At 43.4% G+C, this 20680-nt stretch overlaps 1 protein-coding gene across 2 annotated transcripts in view; it reads right to left on the bottom strand.

Annotated features, from left to right (window-relative positions):
- PARVA (parvin alpha) overlaps positions 1-20680 on the bottom strand; it is a 158921-nt gene that overhangs the window by 53697 nt on the left and 84544 nt on the right. For both annotated transcript variants that reach the window (XM_005253015.4, NM_018222.5), the window contains exons 2-4: positions 7826-7915; positions 7677-7747; positions 3711-3813 (exon numbers count right to left, since the gene is read on the bottom strand). In XM_005253015.4, coding sequence (XP_005253072.1) covers positions 3711-3813; positions 7677-7747; positions 7826-7915 — 264 coding nt within the window. The remainder of the gene's footprint in view (positions 1-3710; positions 3814-7676; positions 7748-7825; positions 7916-20680) is intronic.

Here is a 20680-nt window from a genome sequence, read left to right as displayed (position 1 = left end):
AAGGGCACTGTACCTAGGTACAGATGTTTGGTTATTTATGCTGCAGACAACAAGTTAAAAACATCCACTAATATACCCACATCTTGATATCTAAATTCCATTCTCTAATAAAATAAATCAGGGCTCGTTGGAGAAGTGATTGATTTCAGGACTGGAGTAAGAAAAATATAAGATGGTCTTGGAGTATCTTATGATGTGAGAAACAAAGGAAATGCTCAGAAAAAAAAAAAATATGGGCAGCTTGTTGAACGTGTCCAGGAGGCAACCTGAAAGAGCTCCCAATGGCCGAAGCTGGAGGCCAATGAGCAAAAAAGTGAACGATAAAGTAGTACTGGATTAAACCCAAAGTATAAAATAAATATGTCCATAGTGATATAAATAAATAGAAATGACAACTCTTCCTTTTAGAATTCCAGTTAATAAATGCAGAAGGAATACAGAGAAGAGACCATCTCTGCTAGAACACTACCATAAGAATTGCGGCAGATGCATTCTAAATGGATGCAAAAACTAGAGGGAGAAGTTTAAGGAGAAACAGGATATTTACGTGGTCTCAAAGTATCTCTCCCCACTTAAAAAAAATTAATTAAAAAGAGAAAAACAGTCACTTTATAATGAAGAAATCTGGCAGATACCACCCTGACAATGTGATTGAGGTTAACATGACCAGTGACACGAAAAATAGCCAGAGGGGAACGTAAGGTCAGAGTGCTCACTCAAAACTCTGCCTCCTTTATACTCACAGGGTCGTTAAAAAAAGAAAACAAACCAAAACATTCCCCAAAATCTCTGCTTCCAGACTGATCCCTCCCAGGAGCTCCTGATGCATTTTTTTTTTTTTTTTTTTTTTACCGCAAACTGGTTCCCTCCACCTGAGTATCCTACCCATTATGGGCTTTGAATGTGTATGCCCTGCCTCAGACCTTTGAGATTAGGGTCTAAACTTAAGTTCACAAAAGAAGCATCACCTCCATAGTGAATCACCTTTTCAGCATGAAGGGTGAAATGTGAAATGATCTAATCTGCTTGTACGCAATGCCTAACGTGGGGTTGCATAGATGTGATGCTGGATGGTTTTGTAACCATTCCTGGAGGCAAGATTCCTCCACAACCATGTTCCATTACTCTGTGGCCATGTTCTACCTTGCTTTGACAGCCTAGCATAGAACATTTTGGCAGTTTCAGATCCTGACTAGATGTCTGCTGGAGGAGTTAAAAGCTGTAGTCACTGGGACAGATGCGTGGTGAGGCTCCCGGCTTAGCCATGTCTTCATGTGCCGAAGCTTTTTCATTTCCTCTCTGTATTCAGTTGGAGTTTACAAGCCTTTAAATATTAACACTCATTAATACTGATGTCTGAGAACCAAATCAGTTTAACTTCCTAGAAATTACATTAGCCATTCATTCATTCAATACACTTTTTTTTTTTTTTTTTTGAGAGGGAGTCTTACTCTGTCCCCCATGCTAGAGTGCAACGGCGTGATCTCCGCTCTCTGCAACCTCTGCCTCCCAGGTTCAAGTGATTCTCCTGCCTCAGCGTCCCGAGTAGCTGGGATTATAGGCACCCGCCACCATGCCCGGCTAATTTTTGTATTTTTAGTAGAGACAGGGTTTCACCATGTTGACCAGGCTGCTCTTAAACTCTTGACCTCAGGTGATCTGCCTGCCTCGGCCTCCCAAAATGCTGGGATTACAGGCATGAGCCACCGCGCCCAGCCTCAATATACATTGATTAAGTGCTAGGCAACATATGCTAGACAACCTGATGGTGCTGGAGAAGCCTGGATAAATATATAGGACATGGCTCGTGCCCTTGGGAAGCCTATACACATTTACCTAAACAGCTACAGATGACATGGAAAGTCTTATAATAAGGCATGTATATATACTTACATGTATGTATACAGATATGTGTGTACACGTTTATATCTACACACCTATACATATATGCACATATGTGCAAGTGTATATATAGTCCCTCAGAGAGAGAAACATTTGTGTGTGTGTGGGGAGGAACACAAAAAAAAGTATATGACTATCTTTTCTAAATGTGACTATAGGGCCAGGCGCAGTGGCTCACTGCTGTAATCACAGTACTTTGGGAGGCTGAGGCGGGTTGCTTGAGCCCAGGAGTTTGAGACCAGCCTGGGCAACATGGCAAAACCCCGTCTCCAGAAAAAATACAAAAATTAGCTGGGCATGATGGTACATGCCCTGTAGTCCCAGCTACTCAGGAGGCTAAGGCAGGAGGGTCACTTGAACCCTGGAGGTCGAGACTGCAATAAGCCAAGATCATGCCACTGCACTCCAGCCTGGGTGACAGCGAGAATCTGTCTCAAGAAAAAAAAAAAAGTGACAGTACTGTAAAGGCTATAATAGGGAGGCACATTTGATTAATTTGATTAATTCTAGAGATCAGAAGGATGAGCAATAATGGTCTCCCCTGGTGGGTAAAGGAGGAAGGCAGGCCTTAGAGGCAGAAGGACTAGCATGATCAAAGGTACAGGCATGTTAATATGTGTGGCATATATAAAAATGCAGCAATGGTATGTAAAAAAAATAGTAAAACCAATGATGACAGACATTTATCGAGCATCTACTATGTGTCAGGCACTATCCTAAGCACTTTACACGTATTACTACACGGATGAGCCACATGTGTGGGTGAGACCAAGGAGACAGCTGGGGGTCATCGGATGATGGAATGCTTTGAATGTTGTGCCAAGGGGTTTGGACTTTGTCCAGCAGGAGAGAGGCACTAAGAGTTATAAATAAGTACAGGCAAGACTGGACTTGTGATTTTAAAAGTTTCCTCTGCTAGCTGTGTAGGGAATAGGTTGGAGGAGGTGAGATGGGAAGCAAAGAAGTGAGTTTGGAAGTTTTTTCAATAGTTCAGAGAAGTCAAAATGGCAGAGGATGTATTCAGGAGAGGTAGAAATGGGTCTTGCTGATCCCTGTATACATGGGGGCAGAGGAGGAAGGGAGAGGATTCTATGAACTCAGAGGGGATGAAACAGCTTTAGAAAAGTGGATGAATTCAGTCTAAAGCAGATTCAGGTAGAGGTGCCCAGAGGGCAGCTAAGGATTGAAGTCGAGAATCTGAGGGGACGGTTTGGGCCACAGTTAGATTAGGAGCAGTGGGGGACACCTTAACTCCATTCAAGCTAAAATTTGTCCTTTCAACACTAAGATTACCCCTGAATTCTCCTTTCTCTCCCCATTGTCCTTACATTTTCACATGAACAGCTGCAAAGTGACCCAGGGAGGAATACACACACACACAAGTCCACAGATGACAGAGGAACACACACACATGCATCTGAAGGTGACAGAGGTCTAAAAATGCATACTCAGGCCCATGCATGTAAATATACCGACAGAGGCCACACAGGCATGCTTTTCTGGAGAGGCGGAGGCGTGCTTTCTAGTTATTAATATACAGTGGGGTCTTTTCATCTAGCTGATGATTCTTGGCTGCTAGAAGGAGCAGGCCCACCTAGTCATGGAGACTCCCTCTACAATTCATTCATATGAAACATTCCAAGAGGACATCTAAAGCCTTCACTGAGCTGTTATTCCATGCTCCACACATTTGTAATCCATTTCCAGGTAAGCCACTGTAAACTGAGAATAACTCCTTCTAGCTACAAGTAGGTGATCCAACCACCTGCAATTAAACACACATCCATTGCAGCACTCAACTCTCCTACCGAAAAGCTTCTGCAGGACTTGTCCATCATACAAATCTTCAGCTAGGTCTTTCACAATGATTCTTTCTCCAACCAACACATCATTAATCCAGTCAATTAATACCTACAGAGAGAGAGAAAGGGAATGTGCAATAGTAAGAAAAGAGTTATGGGGTATTTTCTTACAGACCAGCTTTCTTATCCTAAACAATTAAAATCCAAATTAACTTTAGATTTTAAGTTTCATTTTATTTGAGATGGGGTCTCACTATGTTGCCTAGGCTGGACTTAAACTCCTGGGCTCAAGTGATCTTCCTGCCTCAACCTCCTGCATAGCTGAGACTATGGGAGTGTTCCATTGTGCCCTGCTTTGAACTTCAGATTTTAAAAGCAGGAGAACTATCCACATAACCCAGTGTGTGCACAGGTAGCTGTAAGTGTGAGCCCTACTGGCCTTCTTAATTTTCAGATGTATATCCTGCTAGTGCCATGTCCCTGTTAATATCTATGTCCCCTATTATTCCTTACTCTAATGGCAAGCAACACTCACAGTGTACGGCCATAAAAAAAATTTTAGGCTGGGCGTGGTGGTTCACACCTGTAATCCCAACACTTTGGGAGGTCGAGGCGGGCAGATCACTTGAGGTCAGGAGTTTGAGACCAGCCTGGCCAACATGGTGAAACCCCGTCTCTACTAAAACTACAAAGATTAGTCAGGCGTGGTGATAGGTGCCTGTAATCCCAGCTACTTGGGTGGCTGAGGTAGGAGAATTGCTTGAACCGGGAGGTCAAGGCTGCAGTAAGCCGAGATCGTGCCACTGCACTCCAGCCTGGGCAACAGAGTGAGACTCTATCTAAAAAAAAAAAAAAAGTTAAGTATACAGTGATATGTCTTGGTCATTGTGCACAGTAGTTTAATCCCCACCACAATCGAGATACAGAACAGTTCCCTCCCCAGTAGGATGCTTCCGTAGGTCCCTTTGTACTCAATCCTCATCCCTGACCACAGGCCTGGGGGAACCACTACAGTTTTGACATTTCTCCAATTTCTTATAAGTGGACATCGTCCTTTGTGTTGGACGTCTTTGCCTTAGCATAAGTATGCTGCCTTTATAACACAGCAATAGCCAGACAGCGTTGCCATCCCTGGGTGGGCTGATGTTGGAGTCTGGAGGCTTTTGTTCTGCTGTCCCAAGGCAAGAGGATGGCAACTGTAATACCTACTGTATACCAGGCACTGCACTGTATCCAGTAGAGTAAGACCCAGCCTCTGTCCTGGAGAGGCTTATGGGGGCAGAAAACCGGTCAACCAAAGGATTATAACATAAAGAGTTCAAATCCTGGGGTGGGGAGGACATGGTGCTATGAGAGAGTAGAGAAGAGGCCCCAACAGGCTGGGAGTGGGCAGGAGAGATCAGGAATGAGGGGAGGCTTCCAGAAAGCCTTGTGTTTGAGGAGACTTTTTTTTTTTTCCTTTTGAGGCAGGGTCTTGCTATGTTGCCCAGGCTGGAATGCAGTGGCTATTCACAGGTGCAATCATAGTGCACTATAGCCTCGAACTTCTGGCCTCAAACCTTCATCTGAAAGTAGCTGGCATTACAGGTACATGCCACTGTGCCCAGCTCCTAAGAAGACTCTTAAACTAGGAGTTGACCAGAAAGAGTAGGATTTCAAGGTGGTCAAAGCAGCCTAGATCTAGAAAATCGAACCTCCCTCTGGAAGTACGGAGGTAGCTGTGCCTTTGGTCAGCACCCCAGGGCTCAGGCCTATGTGCATCTCCAATCCTTCACTCTCTCAAACAGGGCCCGAGTGCAGGTCTAGGTCTGGGAGATCAACATTGAAGCCTAAACCATTTGGAGCCCATTCTGACCGTCCTTACCCTTAGAGGTCTCCTGAGCAAGTAGTAGCATACCCATTCTAGCATGGTGAGCGCCCTCTGATAGGAGCAAGCCCAGGGCTAGCCCCTTTCCCCCTACCCTTGCCCACACAGGCCCAGCACCCCGGAGAGTGTGCAGCGGCAGGCACAGCCTGCACCTCAACTGTTCCATCTTCTTCCTGCACAGAAAGGTGAGGGCTCAGGGTCTCACTGGGCAGGGGCAGTCATCTATGGATGCAGCACAGACTGCATCAGGAAAGGCCAGATACCCAACATGCACAGCCCAGCTGCCTGTGAGGCTCCGGTTGTGATCCAGGGGAGCAAGGGGCTGCATGGCGGCCTAGCCAAGGCTGCCTCCTTTCTCTTAAACTCTGGGGTCAGGGCACAGACTCCCTTCAGCAGACAGAAGGGACATTTACACATCTCCTCTGAGATGACTGCCCTCAGTCCTCCAGTCCCTAGTGAGATGGCCCAACCCTCACATGGGTTTGATTTTACTTCTGAATACTCCTGGCTGACTTTGAAATTCCTACCCATTCATCCACCCACCCTTCCTTTCCTCCTTCCATCCTCTAATGTTTATTAAATACCTGCTATATGTGACATTCTGTGCTAGGTCCTTGGGGTACAATGATAGAAAAAAAAGACAGTCTCTAACCCCAAGAAGCTCACCATTTAGTAAAGGAGACAGAGAAGTGCATGAGAAGCTATAATATTACGTGGAGACGACAACAGAACTAAGGATAGGGTTATAGCAGCCGTGGAGTGGTTGAGCCATGGCACTAGAGTTTAGAGCAAGCTTCCTGGAGCAAGCAGCCGTGCTGAGACTTTCAGATGAGGGGCATGAGAGGCATTCTACTCAGAGTGGACTGCATTAGCCAGGCTTTGGCGGTGGGGAGCGCTGGGAGCACGCATCGGCTGCTGGGAGCAGCAGTTCTGGCATCCTTGTGTTGCTGGGTAGTGGCTGATCTCAGGTTGAAGAGGCAGCTAGAGCAAGGAGTCTAAACACCACCTCTTAGGAGTCGACTGCAACCTGTGGTGGATGAGAAACTCTGAGAGGTCTTGCACAGGGGAACCGTGTATTCAGATTTGCATGGGGGAATGAATCACTCTGACATCCAGTGCTATTTTTTTTTTTTTTTTGAGACAGGGTCAGGCTGGAGTGCAGTGGCGTGGTCATGGCTCACTGCAACCTCTGCCTCCCAAGTTCAAGCCATCCTCCCACCTCAGCCTCCCGAGTAGCTGGGATTACAGTCATGCGCCACCACACTTGGCTACTTTTTGTATTTTTAGTAGAGATGGTCTGGGATTACAGTCATGCGCCACCACACTTGGCTACTTTTTGTATTTTTAGTAGAGATGGTGTTTCACCCTGTTGCCCAGGCTTCAAGTGATCCACCCACCAGCTAATTTTTTGTACTTTCAGTAGAGATGATGTTTCATCGCATTGCCCAGGCTGGTCTCGAACTCCTGAGCTCAAGTGATCCGCCCGCCTTGGCCTCCGCAGAGTGCTGGGATGACACTCATGAGTGCCTTTTGTCTTAAGTGCAGCTTGGTTAAGCTGAAGAGGAGGAACATAGGACAGGGAATAAGACGCAGGGGAGAAATGAACAGTTTTGAAAGGACAAGCGCACGCCAGCCACTGCGCAGGTACGTAATGCACAGTATGTCACTTCATCTCCTTTATTTCTGCTTGAGTTCCAGCTCCTTGTTTATGACCATAAACAAAGCATCTGGCTTTTCTGAAACTTGATTTTGTCATCTGGAAAATGGGGATGAGACTAATTACTGCTCCACTGCCTGCTTTTGAGGGTCCTTGAGAAAATAAGCATTTTGTGCACTCTGGAATCCTGGCCATCGTGAGCTTACCTGTACTGAACTGTCTGGTGCTGTGACCAGCACCACTCACTGGGCATTTGTCACATCCCACACTTAAACAATCGGTTACGTTTTCGATGGCCATCTGCTAGACAACTCACTGCCTGAGGCAGGGGCTGCCATGACTTTTTACCTTCTCTCAGGGGCTCGTGGGGTACCTGCACAGAGCAGGTGGCATATGGACACATGGTGGGTCAGTGAGGCACCTGAAGCCGCTCCTGATTTCTTCTTACCTTCATCAGTTCTTGAAGCTTGGGGTCACTGCGTGAGTTTGGATCCACCATTGTTCGCACCTCATTCTCCTCTTTAAAAAGAAAAGGAATTCAGTGGGGGTGCTGGCATGGGAAAGCTTAAGCGAATTCAGAGACAAGAGCACAGTTACCCAGCATCGTGTCCTCGGGGTCCAGCTCAAAGGGAATTGGGCTGAGGGGCAGGTTGATGGCGTTCATTCCCTCCTCCTGCAGCTCGGACACTGGAAGAAAAGGAAGAGCAGGGTCACATTTCAGCTGACGGACGGCAGGGGGTTGGAGCTCTGTAACAAGGGTGTTCGATATTGACATTGAGAAAAAAACCCACTAAGGGTAGATTACAGCTGTTACTCAGCCTACGATCAATTCATGGCCTCGCCTGGCTGAAAGGACCTAATTGTCCCCTTAATCTCACCTCTGCCAGCTGTCACTTCACTTGCTTTCCTCAGGGAAGCAGGGAGGTCTCAAAAGCACAGAAATCTCCCTCCTCTCAGAAAAGATTTCGGAATGAATGGAAGCGAGGTGGGCACTGACTTCTTTCTGAGTCTCTACCTCCTGCCTGTCCCATCTTCCAGGACTTCCTGTCTGGTGCCCGGCGACTGTGTGCTGACAGGATGAATGGGGTCATGGGTTTGAGGCTATATGTACGCTGTAAGGCATTTCCATCCTCCGTTCAACCGTCCTCTGACTTCTCACCTCTCCTGGCTTCCCTGAGGTACTCTCCTGATTATCTGCCTTCCCACCTCCACCCAACCCCAGCCACTGCTCAAAAATACCTCAGTTCTGGCCCTTCCCTGAGCTCTGGTCCTATCCCTTGAGATGGAACCAGCTGTGGGACCTGGGGCCAGGCACTTCATCTCTCTTGGCCCATTTCCTCAGCTGAAAATAGAGTTTGACTGGATGAACAGTAAGCTCTTTTACAGTCTTCAAATCCTAGAAATCTGTAATTCCACCTTCCTCAGAAAGAAAAACAAAAACAGGTAAAAACTACCAAAGATTACCAGCCCACGCTCCTCCAAGTGACCAGCCCCCACATGGAGCCTTAGTACAAAAGAATTCCTCCCACAAAACCAGTTGTGTGACAGACGTTTGGTGAGTGCTGACCTTGGATTACCCCTCCTAAAAGCAGTGACTTAAATCCCCTTGCTTTTTGCCAATTAAGCACAGAAAGGCCATTTTCTCAGAAGGCGTTGGTCACCAAGAGGTTCTTAAAGAGCTAATACAGCAGCTGCAATCAACCTTAATAAAAGCAGCGTCCCATCTTTCCATTTTATTTTTTTTATTGACTCTGGCCTCACCAATTGCCAGCATAGACTTGCAAGAAATCCTAAGCACAAGGCAGCCACTTACAAAGAGTTCTTTCACCTCAATACACTCACTGATAGCTGCAGTTGGACTGGAAGGAGACTGAGAAACAAAGGGAGTGAAACACTCTCTACGCCCTAAGAGACACAACTTGCATGGCGAGGCTGGTATTTAGTACCTTTGCAGCAGGTCTTTGACATTCACATAGGGTACCAGCCAGTCACCACCTTGATCTCCACATTCACAGACACCGACTATTTCATAGAATTCTCCATAAAACATGACAGAAACACAGAAGGGGTACCTTCAAAGCTTAAATCAAGCTTGTCCAACCCACAGCTCACGGGCTGCAATGTGGTCCAGGATGGCTTTGAATGCAGCCCAACACAAATTCATAAACTTTCTTAAAACATTATGACATTATCTGGAGATTTTTAATAGCTCATCAGCTATCATTAGTGTTTAGTGTATTTTATGTGTGGCCTAAGACAATCCTCCTCCTTCCAATGTGGCCCAGGGAAGCCAAAAGATTGGACATCCCTGGCTTAAATGATTCTGTAGGTACAGATTGTGTTTGTTTTCCAGCTAAGCACAACTGTTTCCTTAAAATTCTATAGTTTCTTCTAATATCTCCCCTAGAACTACCAGTTTTCTTTCTTTCTCAGGCTATTTCTCACAAAGAAGCACAATTTTCATTACTTTGTTAACAAGCATTGCTACGCAAGGAGTGAGCAGTGGAAATAAAGTCATGTTTAAATGTGGCTGCAAGGCTAGGCTTACTGGCCAATGAAGGAACTTGCTCCTGCCTGGGACTTTCTCTCCTGTAGCTACACTGATCGGCACTGTCCAATACAGTAGCTACTAGCCACTTGAGCTATTTAAATTTCAGTGAATTAAAAATTCCGCTCCGTAGCTGCACCAACCACATTTCAAGTACTCAATGGCCACAGGTGGCTGGTACCTACAACACCAGACAGCATGGATGTAGAAAGGTTCCATCACAAGATCATCAAGTATGTTCTCATGATTTAAGTGAGGACATGCCATATTTGGTTTTCTGCTCCTGTTAGTTTGCTAAGGATAATGGCCTCCAGCTCCATCCACGTCGCTGCAAATTACATGATCCTTTCTTTATTCATGGCTGCATAGTGTTCCATGGTGTATATGTACCACATTTTCTTTATCCAGTCTATAGTTGATGGGAAAATAATCCATACAACAAGCCCCCAGGACACAAGTTTGCCTATGTAACAAACATGTACCCCTGAACTTAAAGTTAAAAAATAAAATTTTTAAAAGAGTAAGTGGATAATGTCCTAGGTCATCCCATTCAACTAATGTCCATGTCCACATTTAAATCTCCAGCCTGGAGCTCCAAGCTTATGAATCTAATCACTTATTCAATGTCTCCTCTTAGGTCTACTAATAGAGATCTCAAATGTACACATCCAAACAGAACTTGTGATTCTCAACACCCTCATACCCACCATACCAGCACTAAAATGAACCTGTTCTTTATTCTTATCCTCTTCAGTAGATGGCACCACTGTTTACACCATGGTTCACGCCAAGCTCCGAGGAATCACTCTTAAGTTCTCATTTTCCTCACCTTTTGCATCTGTCCAAAACACTGGCAAGTATTGTGGGCTCCGCCTCCAAACCAGGACCCAATTCCAAACACTTCTCACCATCTCCCTGCTCTATCATCCTGACTTGAGCCACCGTTATCTTTTGCCTGGCCTATCAGAACCACCTTCTAACTGGTCTACTGCTTTGCTTGCATTTCCCCCACTCTCACCTACTTCCCACAGTGCAGCGAGAATGTTCTACAAAAATGTAAATAGGATCATACATTCTCCCACTTCAAGCTTTCTTGTGACTTCCCATCATACTCAGGTCATAGGTAGGAGCTGAGGTTTTATTCTATGAGACTCTGATTAGCGCCCTCCCACCTCCCTCTCATGTTTTATTTTCTCATCATGATCTATTTTCTCATCATGATCTGAAATAAAAACTTATATGGCTGTTAACTCTCTCCCTCACCAGAATGTAAGTTTTGTAAGGACTGGCACTATTTCTCTTTTGTTCACTATTAGATCCCCCATGAGGCCAGAGGGCACAGTGGTTAGAAGCCAAGCTGCCTACGTTCATATCCAGACTCTACCACTCACCAGCTCTGTGGCCTTGGGCAAGTTCATCAACCTCTCATGCCTTAGATTCCTCACCTGCAAAATGGGAGTGACAGCAATATTGCCGACCTCCAAGGGTTGCTGAGAAGACTAAATGAGTTAATATATGCAAAGTACCCAGAAGCATGCCTGGCAGCTGGTAAGAGCTAGGTAAATACATGCAACTATTATTATTACTTAAAACAACACCTCAAGCATTGTAAGCACTCAAGAAATATTTGCTGAATACATAATCCAAACTGTCAAGACCACCCTTCAACTGCACAGGTTATGAGTTGAGGCAGAATTTGCCAAAGCAGAGAATGGGATGCAAAGGATTTTACCTTTTTCCCAGAAAAACAAAATACATTTCCATTTTAGCCTGACTGTGTGTGCGCACATGTGCGTACGCATGCACGCACATTTCTGGGGCAGCATTTCCAGCTTACATTTTATAAGGTAAGTAAAGTCACACCTGTCCCAAGACTTGTTGTATAGCCAAAGTGAGCCAATTTGTAAATGGAGAGGTATTGAAACATCTCTAAAGTGTGACTAGAAACGCAATATTTGAAGCCAGGACTCCTAAAGGTGGGTCTGAACAGGATCTCTTTTTCTGTGTAGATCATTGTTAAAAATGTTTTCAGATGAAGAATCCCCAGTCAGAAACATTCCCCTCTGCCCTGCCTCTTTAATTCACTCACAGAGACATAACAAATCCAAGAAGAAAGGCCAAGATATGTTTGCAATTGGAAATGTTTTTTTCAGGAAACGATTTGGTACAGGAACATCATTCCCATTCCATTAACTGCTGACTCTGAGCCAACTGTTTGTAAAAGTGAATATGCAAACTGCCCAGTGCAGGCCTGGCCCTTGCCCCATGGGGCCCCATTAGTGGCCACTTTCCCAAAACAGCCCTCCTGCTTTGGAGGTTTCATTTCTATTAAACCAAAGCAGGACCCAGCAGAAGCCCCTTGCCAATCCTCACGCACTGAAAGAGAAAGAGCTACAACTGAATTTTCTCGGCACAGAATGGGAATCTGATGTTTATCCACTGAACCTCCTCTAACAATCTAAAACTGGGTCCGAATGTCTCGCAGCGCCATTAAGTCATAACTTAATAAACAGATCAAATGCCCAGCTGAAGGTCGGGGTAGGGAAAGCAGGGAGATTGCCTGAACCCCTGAAGTGCTCACCGTGAGAAAAGGGGCTTTTGTTTCCAGGGATATGTGGTCTGACTCTGAGGCCACATGAGCAGAAGAAAGTACCTGGATGGGCTTTGGCGTGTGGATTTGTACCCTACTTCTATTTTTATCAGCTGTGGAACCTTATGTAAGTAGGTTAACCTCCTTGAACTTCGGTATAAAACAATTCTGTACATAACAAGGGTATAGCTGACATTGGTGGTTTGCTCCCCAACATTTATCCGTTTTCCCTGCTGAAAGAACCCTCATTTTGTTCCAGTATACACCCCTCCCTCCTATGCCTCCAGGTAAAGCCGCTATTGGTTTAAACGAATCATGATGATCTTGATCCCTGTAGCAGTGGTTGGCTCAAGCATCATCATGTCAATTCTGGTCAATGAACTGTGACAGAAAATTTCTAGAAGCTTCTGGAATCACTTTCCTTCATTCTAAAGAAAGGCCCAAGGAAGAAAAGGCAACCTTCTCCTTCTAATCATTATTGTGTCAGGATATTATACCTGGATTTGTTGCAGCCATTTTGTAGCCATGCAGTGAGTAAGCTCAAGGAAGAAGCTAGTGTGTTGAGGTTGGCAGAGAAAAAATATAGAAAGATGGGGTTCTTGTTGATACTATTAAGCCACAACCCCTGGAACCACTCAAGCTCATATGTCTTGTTATAGGAGATACAATAAATTCCCTTACTGTTTGAGCCAATTAGAAGAGGTATTTTTCTAGGCCTCAGAGCCCAAACTCCCTAACTGATAACATGGGGATACCAGGATTCTAAAGTCAATGGGTGAATAGAGTAGGTCTGCAATGAATGGTAATTTCCCCCTGATTTTTGTTCATGAAGAAAAGAAATGCTATGGCATCTCTTTTACTCCGGAATACATCTAGGGACTCAAAGAATACCAGGGGAAAAGCAAACATGGAGAGAATAGACAGAGGTCTCTAAATATGCAAGGCCAGTAATTTCATTCATTCAACCAATAAGCATTACTGGGTGCCTCCCCTGAAGCAGTCCCCATGCCAGCACTGGTGATACAGGTTTGGGGATTTGACGTAGGCCTGCCTCAGTCTGCTCAAGGTGGTGGGAAAGGTAGGCCCGCAGATGCAATGCACACGGTGCTACACTCAGAGGTGACAGAGATGTAAGGAGAGAGCCACAGGGCTCATGTAGAACAAGGCTAACTTTGGATGGAGAAGACTGGGAAGGAGTCCTAAAAAGGGAACATTTGAACTGGACCTTGAAAATGTAAATTTTCAACCAACACAGGTGCACTACAAAAGGCACATCTTGTGTAAAAATAGCAAGATGTGGAAAAACAGGGCAGGTGTTGAGGGAGTAGTGATTATGTCTGAGCACAGGGAATATAAATGTGCACAGGGGAAGGGGGTGAGGAATGGAATAGCAGATAAGTAGGGCGGGGTTCCAGAGTGTTAGGGTCTTGAATTCATCTATTCTCCACATTCCCTGAACCACGCCCACTGTATCTGTACTTGCAAAAAACCATTCTGAGAGAGGGCAAGAAAAGAACCAGGATGTTCTTTCTCCTTCAGGGCCAGTGGGCCCCAGTGAGATGTTTAGGCTGCTCTAGATCCTTATCAGAACTCTGATTATTAATTTCTAGTCCCCTTGAAAGTTATTAAAGCTCCCTTAATTTCTAAATAGTTCCAGGGCCTATACAGAAGCTCTTGGCAGCTAAAGACAACTATATTGTCTGGTCAGCAAGTCCCAGCAATGTTTCTCTATGTGAAAAATCAATCTGAAAGAACATCTACAACAACAACAACAAAAAAATTAAACCCTACAGCCTAACATCATACATTATGTTGAGAAATTGGATGCTTTGCCCCTAAAAATGGGAACAAGTCAAGGATGTCTCCTCTCACCATGCCTATTCAAAATTATACTAGAAATCTTAGTACAATAACACAAGAGAAGAAAATAAAAGGTATACAGATTGGGAAGGAAGAAATTGTCTTTGTTTGCCGGTGATATTTCTAAAGAATCAACCATAAAACAAACAAACAAAACACCAATGCTCCTCACCCCTAAAATTCCTAGAATAAGCAATTCTGGCAAGGTTGCAGGATACAAGGCTAATTTACAAAAATCAATTGCTTCCTATATACTAGCACTGAATGGTTGAAATTTAAAATTAAAAACACAGTATCATTTATAGTAGCACAAAAAATGCAATACTTGGGTATAAATCTAAAATAATGGGCACACTATATCTTCTGATATGCAGAAGATTATAAAACCCAGATGATCTAAATAAAGGAAGAGATATTCAGTGTTCATGGACTGGAAAACTTAAGATTTCAATTCTTTCCAACTTCATCTATAGATTCAATGTTAATCTCAGTCAAAATCACAGAAAGCTATTTTGTGGATATTGACAAACTGATTCTAAAGTTTACACAAAAAGGCGAGAGACCTAGAGTAGCCAACAAAATATGGAAGAATAACGAAGTTGGAGGACGAACACTACCATACTTCAAGACTACTAAAAACATACAATCATCAATTGTTAAAATGATCACAGACCTAAGTTAAAACACAATACTATAAAACTTCTAGAAAAAAAAAACAGAAAATCTGTGTGACCTACGGTTGGATAATGAGTTTTTAGATACAACACCAAAAGGATAATCAATGAAAGAAAACTTGGTGAGTTGGGCTTTATTAATACTTCTACTCTACAGGCCGGGCGTGGTGGCTTATGCCTGTAATCTCAGCACTCTGGGTGGCCGAGGCGGGCGGATCACAAGGTCAGGAGTTTGAGACCAGCCTGGCCAACATAGTGAAACCCCGTCTCACTAAAAATACAAAAATTAGCCAGGCATGGTGGCGCATGCCTGTAGTCCCAGCTACTTGGGAGGCTGAGACAGAAGAATTGCTTGAACTCAAGAGGCAGAGGTTGCAGTGAGCTGAGATCAGGCCACTGCACTCCAGCCTGGGCAACAGAGCAAGACTCCGTCTCAAAAAAAAAAAAACAACTAAATAAATAAATATTTCTACTCTACAAAAGATACTGTTAAGAGAATGAAAAGACAAGGCATAGACTGAGAGAAAATATTTGCAAAATACCTATCTGATAAGACTTGTATGCAAGTCTGACTCAACTACAAAATGGGCAAAAGATCTGAATAAGCATATCACCAGAGAAGATGTACATATAGCAAAGAGGCATATGAGAGGGTGTTCATTATCCTTTGTGATTAGGGAATGACAAAACACCAATGAGATATCACTAGACATCAACTAGAATGGCTATAATCCAAAAAAAACTGACAACACTAAACACTGGCAAGGGGTGTGGAGCAACAGGAACTTTCATTTATTGCTGGTAGGAATGCAAAATAGTAAGAGCCACTTTGGTGTTTTCTTACAAAACTATAATTTTACCATATAATCCAGCAGTCAAGCTCCTAGGTATTTACCCAACTGATTTGAAAACATGTTCACACAAAACCCTGAATGTGAATATTTATAGCAGCTTTATTCATAATCACCCAAAACTGCAAGCAACCAAGATATCCTCTAATAGGTGAGTAGATAAACTGTAGTACATCTATATGAAAATTATTATTTAGTGATAAAAGGAAATGAGCTATAAAGCCATGAAGAGACATGAAAGAACCTTAAATGCATATTCCTAGACAAGTTGGTCTAAAAAGGCTACATGCTATACAATTCTAATTATACGACATTCTGGAAAAGGCGAAACTAGAGAGAGTAAAAAGATAAATGGGGGAAAATGCTGAATAGGCAAAGTACAGAAGATTTTTAAGGCAGTGAAAGTGTTCTGTATGATACTGTAATGGCAGACACATGATATTTATAGTATAAGAAATGTCTTAGTCCATTTTCTGTTGCTTATAACAGAATGTCTGAAACTGGGTAACTTATAAAGAAAAAAAATATTTCTTACAGTTATGGAGGCTAAGATGTCCCAGGTTGCAGGGCCACATCTAGTGAGGGCCTTTGTGCTGGTGGGGACTCTCTGCAGGGTCCTGAGGCAGCACATGGCAAAGGGGCTGAGTGTGCCAGCTCACATCTCTCTTCCTCTTCTTATAAAGCCACCAGTCCTATTCCATAACTCATTAATCCATTAATGGATTAATCCAGGCATCCCCAACCCCCAGGATATGAACTAGAACGTGGACCAGTACTGGTCCATGGCCTGTTAGGAACTAGGCTGTACAGCAGGAGCTGAGCAGTAGGTGAGTATTACTACCTGAGCTCTGCCTCCTGTCAGATCAGTGGCTTAGATTCTCATAGGAGCGCAAACCCTATTGTGAATTGTGCATGCAAGTGATCTAGGTTGTGTGCTCCTTATGAGAATTTAATGCCTAATGATCTGAGGTGGAACAGTTTCATCCCGAAACTAACCCCGACCCAACCCCATGTCCATGGAAAAAACTGTCTTCCATGAAATTGGTCCGTGATGCCAAAAAGGTTGGGGACTACTGGATTAATCCAGGTAGAGTGCTCATGAGTCAATCACCTCTTAAAGGCCCCACCTTTCAATACTGCCACATTGGGGATTAAGTTTGAACATGAGTTTCAGAGGCGACAAATATTCAAACCCTAACAAGGAGTAAACCTTAATGTAAGCAAATTAAAAAATCATTTAGAAGGTTAGAGGACCCAAGGATGGAATGCAGATTGTGACAATAGAATCTAACTGTATTACAAATGTATGAGATGACCTCAATGAAAGGGGTGATGGGAATGGTACGAACTTAAGTATCTCTGGAAATGAGATGACTCTATAAGACCAAAGGCAAAAGGAACTGCATTTAGGCACGGCACTCTAGTTGATAAAGTTGTTTCCCATAGGGTATGGGTTAACAGTGCTGATACTGCTATATGTGTATGCTGGAATTGAACAATTAAGTAAATGCATGGTGGATGGTAGGAGCCAGTTTTCTCACTGGAGTGGGAGGTTATAGATAAACAAGGGGAGAAAGCTAGAATGGTCCATGTGGTAATGCATTGGAGTTAGAGACATCAGTAAAAACTTATGTTTAACTTAATATAGATACAGATGGTTACAAGATATGTGTATATCTCTCTAAGTATTTCTATAAATTAGTGCACACACATATATTTCCTTACTGTGTTAACTGAGAGGGCCTAGATGCATCAGTACTCCAGTAGCAATGAATGTACATAGAGCCCAGATGTTCGTTTCTAGTCCTGTTCTCCAATAAAAGTAACCAGGGCTCCTTGGAAAAATGGCTGATTCTAGGACTGCAGAGAAAATATATGAGATAAGCTTGGAGCCAGAAAGGAAGGAAGTACTCAGGAAAAAAAAAAAAAAAAGGAGGGATGTCAGAGGCTCACAGGAGCTGATTGAAAGAGCTGGCCAAAGTTGCAACCATTTGAATAACAAAATAAAGTAGTATTGGATTATAATAAAGTGGATTATCATATAAATTGTATTATAACAATCTGAAGCCCACAGATAAAATAAATGTCTGTGAATCCATAGTGATATAAATAATTGAATAAATTAACACATGGAAGAGAAGAAACTAATCTGTGCAGAATTTCAAATTTTCATAGATCCTCTGTTCTGAAAGAATGGAGCATAACTCCCCACTCTTTATGTGTGGGCTGCGTCTAGTGACTTCCTTTGAAAGAGTACTGTATAGGAAGGAGGAAAAAAGTTAGGCTTTACAGTGGAGAAATGTGACAAACACCACCTCAGCCAGGAAAACAAGACCAATATCCACAGTCATAAACCATGTTGATGTTATGTACCCTTGATATGATGTGATGAAAATGGCACTTTACCTCTGTGACCTTCCTTCCAGAAACCCATAACTATAGCCTAAGAATGAAAAAATGTCAATTCTAACAGGAGGGCATCCTAAAAAATACTTGACCAGTACTCCTCAAAACTGTCAAAGTCATAAAAAAACCAAGTCTGAGAAACTGTCACAGCCAAGAGAAGCCTAAGGAGACATGAAGACAAAACGTAATGTGGAACAGATAGAGTATGTTAAGTACAAGCTAAAGAAATCTGAATAAACTATGGCTTTAGACAAAATATAGTAATATCAATAATATAACAAAAGTAATATATCACTAACTGTAAGTTAGTAATAATATATCACTACTGTCCATTAATTTTAAGAATTGTACCATACTAATTTAAGATGTTAATAAGAAAAAAAAGTGGGCGTGGGATATACGAAAACTCTGTACTCCCTTTGCAATTTTTTTTTTTGGTAGATCTAAAACTATCCTAAAAATATATAGTGTTCATGAAGGGTTGGGGGTGGAAATCCAAGATTTTATGAGACACGAATGTTTCCTCCCATCACCAAGAAGATAGTAGTAACTTATCTGACTAAGCTCTGTAGAAGCATTTGGACAGGAGGCAAAGCCCAAAGATGACTACAGCACCTGAGAACTCAAAGTTGTTGGTTGTTTCCAGGGCTGAGATGAGAAAATTTAGGAGAAGACAGAGCTTCCTCCTAACTTAGGGATGCCTGGCAGGGTCATTTCTACTTTATTAAAAAGGGGTCTGTCTCACTAGTACAAGTGTCACTGAAAGTTCGGTGGTCTTTTCAATGACTTTTCTCTGGAATTGCATCTATCCATGGTCACCTACGGAGGTCTTTATACCATGGGCTTTTGTATTAGTTCTCTATTGCTGTAGTAGCAAATCACAAACTTTGCGGCATAACACAATACAAATGTATTATCCTTGCAGACCTGTAAGTTAGAAGACCAACATGGGTCTCACTGGGCTAAAGTCAAAGTGTCAGCAGGGCTGTGTTCCTTTCTACTGGCTTAGCGGGTAATCCATTTTCTTTCCTTTTCTAGCATCTGGAGGCTGCCCTCATTCCTTGGTCTGTGGTCCCTTTCCTCCATCTCAAAGCCAGCAGTGGGGGCAAGGCTCAAATCCCTCTCACTGCATACTCTAAATCTCCTCTTCTACTTTTAAGTTTCCTGTGATTTTATTAAGCCCACCTGAATAATCCAGGCCAATCTCCCTATTTTAGGATCAGCTGATTAGCAACTGAAATTCCCCTTTGCCACATAAAGTAACATATTTACAGATCCTAGGGATTAGGGCATGGATGGCTTTGGGAGAGTGATTATTCTGCCTACAATAGCTTTTTCTGTTAAGGGAACAAGTTCTGTTCTTAATACCCTTCTCTACAACATATGGGTTCACTTTTTTCCCATGTGAGATTGCCAGAAGAAAATGCAAAATCTGCACCCCCCAACCCAGTCCCTTAAACAAGAGAAGTTTTACTACATTTAACTAAAAGGATACTTGTTTCAGTGGTTATAATATGTGGCTTCAGGTAAACATGGGAACCAGCTCTTGGTGGCCTCAGCAGAATGTTGGGGTCTCACCACACTCTCTTGTACTTGACACAGCTAGTCTAGTCACCGAGGTTGACATATGGCCCTTGGAGCACAGCCAAAAAAGAGAACTTAGAGGCGGTGTTGTGATGGGAGCTGACAGCAGGATCTATAGTCCCAAGTCCTACAGTTTCCACCCATCTTTGTTTTGGTCTGTTTCATAGGCTCTGCAGAGTTGGAAGTCTGCCAAGCAAATGGCCCCTAGGCACTTATTCACTGTTTAGCCAACCATGTGATGCGGCTGTCCTCCAATTGCTCGTAGGCATGGAAGGAGATGGAAGCACCATTGGATGGCTTCAGGCAGTCGAAACAATTTGAGTTGAAACATTATTTGAGGTCTCATGTAAGCCATGGGAGTTAAATTTAAACACAAAACAGGCATACAGGGCCCAGGGAACAATATTCATCACTGTTCTTTGTCCTTTGCCATGCCATACCCTGTTATCTTTTTAGATTGAGAATGAGAACCATTTCCTTGGTTTAAAAGTCTGCTCCTACTTAGAGAAGAAGTGCCATGCCTTTGTGCGTGGGTGTGCATCTGTGTGTGTCCACATGCCCTGAGCATTTGTAACGGCCTTGGGGAGAACATAGAACTTGACCTGGTAAGCTGGCTAATTACATAGGAAATGTAGATACAATAAGCCACCTAAACCAAGGACAGCCAGGGTGGAGCTGGCATTACTTATCTCACAGATTCATAAGCATGTATGGGCATCTCTGGTGCTAGGAGATGGGTCAGGAGCTATGAATACAAAGACAAGGACCTGCCTTCCAGAGCTAGTTGGTTCCTAAAGGGCAGCCACCTTGTTGGCCCTCGGAGCCCAGCACAGTGCCAGGTACCTGATAAGCACTTATTAAGTACCTGGAGGATGTTTTAATGTGAGAGGGGGGGACGCTGCATCCCGCAAACTGCAATGCAATATGAGGGCCCTCACA

The sequence above is a fragment of the Homo sapiens genome, chromosome 11 (genome assembly GCF_000001405.40).
Source record: "Homo sapiens chromosome 11, GRCh38.p14 Primary Assembly".
Classification (NCBI taxonomy): Eukaryota; Metazoa; Chordata; class Mammalia; order Primates; family Hominidae; genus Homo; species Homo sapiens.
The sequence above is the reverse complement of the archived record's forward strand: the minus strand, read 5'-3'. Positions and strand labels throughout refer to the sequence as shown.